This window comes from Homo sapiens, chromosome 8 (assembly GCF_000001405.40).
Source record: "Homo sapiens chromosome 8, GRCh38.p14 Primary Assembly".
Classification (NCBI taxonomy): Eukaryota; Metazoa; Chordata; class Mammalia; order Primates; family Hominidae; genus Homo; species Homo sapiens.
In genome coordinates, this window is record NC_000008.11 from 133,850,190 (window position 1) to 133,854,267 (window position 4,078).

The 4,078-nt window shown below is 42.6% G+C and overlaps 2 annotated features.

Moving 5' to 3' along the window:
* Window positions 1,956-2,456: an enhancer, noted in NCBI's record as "H3K27ac-H3K4me1 hESC enhancer chr8:134864388-134864888 (GRCh37/hg19 assembly coordinates)". NCBI's record gives its function as "activates a minimal SCP1, AML or CMV promoter by ChIP-STARR-seq in naive H9 embryonic stem cells {active_cell/tissue: H9 hESC(naive)}" and the evidence as "EXISTENCE:reporter gene assay evidence [ECO:0000049][PMID:30033119]".
* Window positions 2,457-2,957: an enhancer, noted in NCBI's record as "H3K27ac-H3K4me1 hESC enhancer chr8:134864889-134865389 (GRCh37/hg19 assembly coordinates)". NCBI's record gives its function as "activates a minimal SCP1, AML or CMV promoter by ChIP-STARR-seq in naive H9 embryonic stem cells {active_cell/tissue: H9 hESC(naive)}" and the evidence as "EXISTENCE:reporter gene assay evidence [ECO:0000049][PMID:30033119]".

Here is a 4,078-nt window from a genome sequence, read left to right on the forward strand (position 1 = left end):
TGAGTGACTGTGGCAGATGCCGCTTAAATGATTTGGATTAAAATTCTGTTTCTGCCTCATCGTAACGAGGAAACTTTGGCCAAGCCAGTTTCCTCCTCCGTGTCTCAATTTTCTCAGTTGTAAAATAAGGATGATGACAATGCCTACCTCACTGCTCTGGAGGAATAAACAGTCTCATGTGTGCCGAAGCCTCTGCTTGACATATAATGGACTTTTCTCATGATAGCCAAAGTCTTTTTTTTTGCAGATGAGAAAAAAAGAATAAGCTGGCTGTCCAACATCACTTAGCAACAAAATTGCTAGCACGGTGAGCCAGCAAGATGATGCCAAAAGAATACCTTGAACTTGGGCATCAAAAAGACCTGGATCAAACCCTAGCTCTGTCATTTATCACCTTTGTGGCTCTAAGCAAATTTCTCTCTTGCCTCAGGGCTCTTTCCCATTGCCTGAGGTGTTCTTTCCCGACATCCTTCATGGAAGAAGACATATTCCACTCCTTCAGATCTCTGCTCAAAAGGCCATTTGATCAGGGAAGGTTGCTGAGTGTCCTGCATCACTCCTTTACCCTGCTTGAGGTGGTCATCTGACATATCAACTTTTTAATTCTTTTATCTTCTGTCTTGCATTGCATGACAATGCAAGCTCTTTGAGAACAAAGATATCTGTGTGTTTTATTCCCTGCTAAAGCTCTATGTCCTAGAACGCCACCCGGCATAGACAAGGTACATAATGCATATTTGTTGAATAGGTGTGGAATGAAAGGGTCTTAATTTCTCTAAGCTTAAATTCTTCATGGAATGAAAACACCTATCTCACCAGATCATTGTGGAGAAAGCTTTTAAATGCTTAGCATCAGGACATGAATTGCTGGCCGATATCAGTGCAATGATAATGGTGAGGTCTATAGACCCCTGTGGCTGTGGCAACACTTTTCATAGGCTGCCCCTGCCTCTGAAAGCTTTTGTCAAAGGAAGATTTGGGTCAGTGTTTCCCACATCTGGCTGCAGATCAGCATCCATGGGAGCCTTGTAGAAGCGCAGCTTTCTGGGCCCTGCTGTGATCATTCTGACCCAGATCCCTGGATGGAGCTCAGGAATCAGTGTTTTTAAAATATTGCGGTAGCCATGGAATTTCCCCTTTAGGAATTAGAAAGGAGGCAACTCCAGAGAGAGGTATTGTGATGTCAGTTACCAGTGCTTCCTGTGAAGATCATTATCATTAAAAAGAATAAATACTTCCTGAACAACATAAAGGGTACATATAAAAAGCACAAGTATAAGTGAAGGAAAGGGAGCCAAGAACTATTGACCAGAGAGAACTTGCTCGCAAGGAGTAAGCAGCTTGGTGAGATACAGAAACTACTCTAGCCACATCCATAGCAGACAGGCTGCATTTCTGTAGATGAAGCCAATGAAAGCAACGTGATAATTATATTTCTTTTTTAAAACGCTGACACTGCTGAGTAGCAAGCAGGTAGTAAATGCTTGCAAGACTGTTTGCATTGCTGAGTGTTTAATCTTTTAATTATTACTCTTGGAGTTTTTTTTTTTTTTTCAATGTAATGCTAATAAGCAAACACATGGCCTCTTTCTTGAACTTAATTTCGTGCATGGAGTGTTGACACAACTGTGAATCCCTGCAGTGCAAAATACTGGGGCCAAGAGTTAAACCCATTGGATAAACAAACTGAAATCATCCTGTGTTTACAATAAAATAAGAGTATACATAAGTAACCAGGCTGATATTTTCTTAGTAATTATCTAGATCCGTGCTGTCCAATACTGTAGCCATTAGTCACATGTGGCTTTTTTAATTTAATTAAAATCGAATTAAAAATTCCTCAGTTGTCCTAGACACTTTTCAAGTGCTCAGTGACCACATGGGGCTACGGGCTATCGTGCTGGACAACACAAACTAGAGCATTTCCATCATGACATATGCTGTTGGACAATGCTGATGGAAATTTTCTAGAAGTGTGTGGAAATCTGCAACATATGGTATACGCTAAACAACAAAATGGGCCCAAAGCACAAAAAATGTGTTGTTGAGAAATTTGAGTCTTAGAGCCAGATTTTACAACCTTGTTGTCTTGAACATTTAAGAAGGGGCTGTAAATTATTGATAGGAGGACACTATCTATATATTAAGGAGACAATTGAAGTGGCTGTGCGTGGATGTTTGGAAGCTCTCTCCCAAAGAGTGACTTTGCTTGGGAAGGAAATAGAAAGATGAGACTTCTGTTCTTCCTAGTCTCCCTTGCAAGGATGGCTGTGCTTCTCACAGCCCCTCACCAGGGGAAGGAAGATAAAATGAGAAGCGTTCATATTTGGATCAGTATTTGCATTGCTATGCCCTAAGAAAGAAAACCAGATTGGATTTGAGAGTGATGTTACCTGAACTCACACTGTCTCTGCCCTGTTGATCACCTTCTCTTCTCATAGCAAAGGCAAGCTGGAGTCCTACAAACCGGGGGCTGCTTCACTGTAATATTTAAACTGCAGAATCAGCCTTAATAAGATCTGGCTGTGTGACATTGGTCAAGTTATTTCACCTCTATGAGCTTCAGCTATCCTGTCAGTAAAATGGCAGTAACAATGTGTCCATCTGATGGAGCTGTTTTCAGGGGAAAATAAGACAGTGCATAAATGCACTGAACATGGTGCCTGCCTCATGACATACACATAATAAATGGTCTATCATAATGCATGCACGCAGCACCAATCTCAGTTTTGCTATTAATTAATTGCTTCACTAAACATATTAATGCTTTTGTGTTGATTTCCTCATCTGTAAGTTGTCAATGATGTTACCACCTATGTGGAAGTTTGTTATGAGAATCAAATGGAATGAACTACGCCAAGGAGCACTGACATGGGTTGACACACAGTAGGAGCTTCATGGACGTTGTTGCTACTTTTGGCCTAAAAACGTCTTTGGGAGCAAAACCTATTTAATTCTCAAGCTTTTAAAGTTTTTCTAGCATTCTTTCCATTCTCCAGAGGATAGGGGTGCAGAGCTCCATTCCATATCAGAAGGCCCCTGAGTACCATGGGCAGGTCAGTGGGTGAGAACAGAAAACGTCAACTGGGCTTGTTGCTGAAGCCTCAGCTTCTTATGTAGAGAGACTTCGTTCACTGGAAGCTGCCTCCCTGCAACAGCTGGGCTTGTGTGCTGGTGGAAGAGTGGCAGCCCTGTGGATCTGCTCTGCTTTTCCCCCCTAGAGTAACTAATCTGCACATTTACCTGGGGCTTTCCACCACTCCATGTGATTTTTTTTTTTTTAATTTTTAAAAATTTGTTTAACTTTTTTTAGAGACAGGGTCTTGTTCTGTTGCTCAGGCTAGAGTGCAGTGGCAGGATCAGAGCTCACTGCAGCCTTCAACTCCTGACCACAAACAATCCTCCCACCTTGGCCTCCCAAAGTGCTGGGATTAAAGACATAAGCCACTACACCTGGCCACCCACGTGGTTTTCACAGCACCCCAGGAAGAAGGCAGATTGTACTGATGTGGAAGCTGACCCTCAGAAAGGAGGAATACTTTTTGCGAAGACAGCTTGTACATGGCGAGGCTGGGACGAGAGCCTAAGACCTCGAATCCTACTTCTGTTTTGCTTTGTCTTTTTCACTGTAACTTCCCTTGCACTGTCTCTCAGAGCTCTGTATCCTCTGTAGCATCCCCCAGGCCCTGCCCAGCCTTGTTTTGCCTACTGCAGCCCCTGCTCCATGCATACCCCATCTCCTCTAATAGCTTCATCCTTACAGCATGACTGAAGTAAATGTAACTTGACCAAAATGATTCTTTCTAAAGGCACAATGACTAATATTTACCAGAAGGTTTGGAAAAAAGAGACTGGATTATTCTAACCACATCACATTGTGGCGAATTCCAGGCACTCAACAACACCAGATCTCGAGGCAAGGGGCAGAGTGGGAGGCATAGCTTTGCTGCTAATCGGCAGGTGACATCGGGCTGTCTTCTTAAACCTGAGCCTCAGCCTCTTCATGTATGAAATGAAGTCATTCAACCCTAAAGCTTTCAGAAGGCACATCCAGCTCTAGGATTCTTTGAAATAAGGA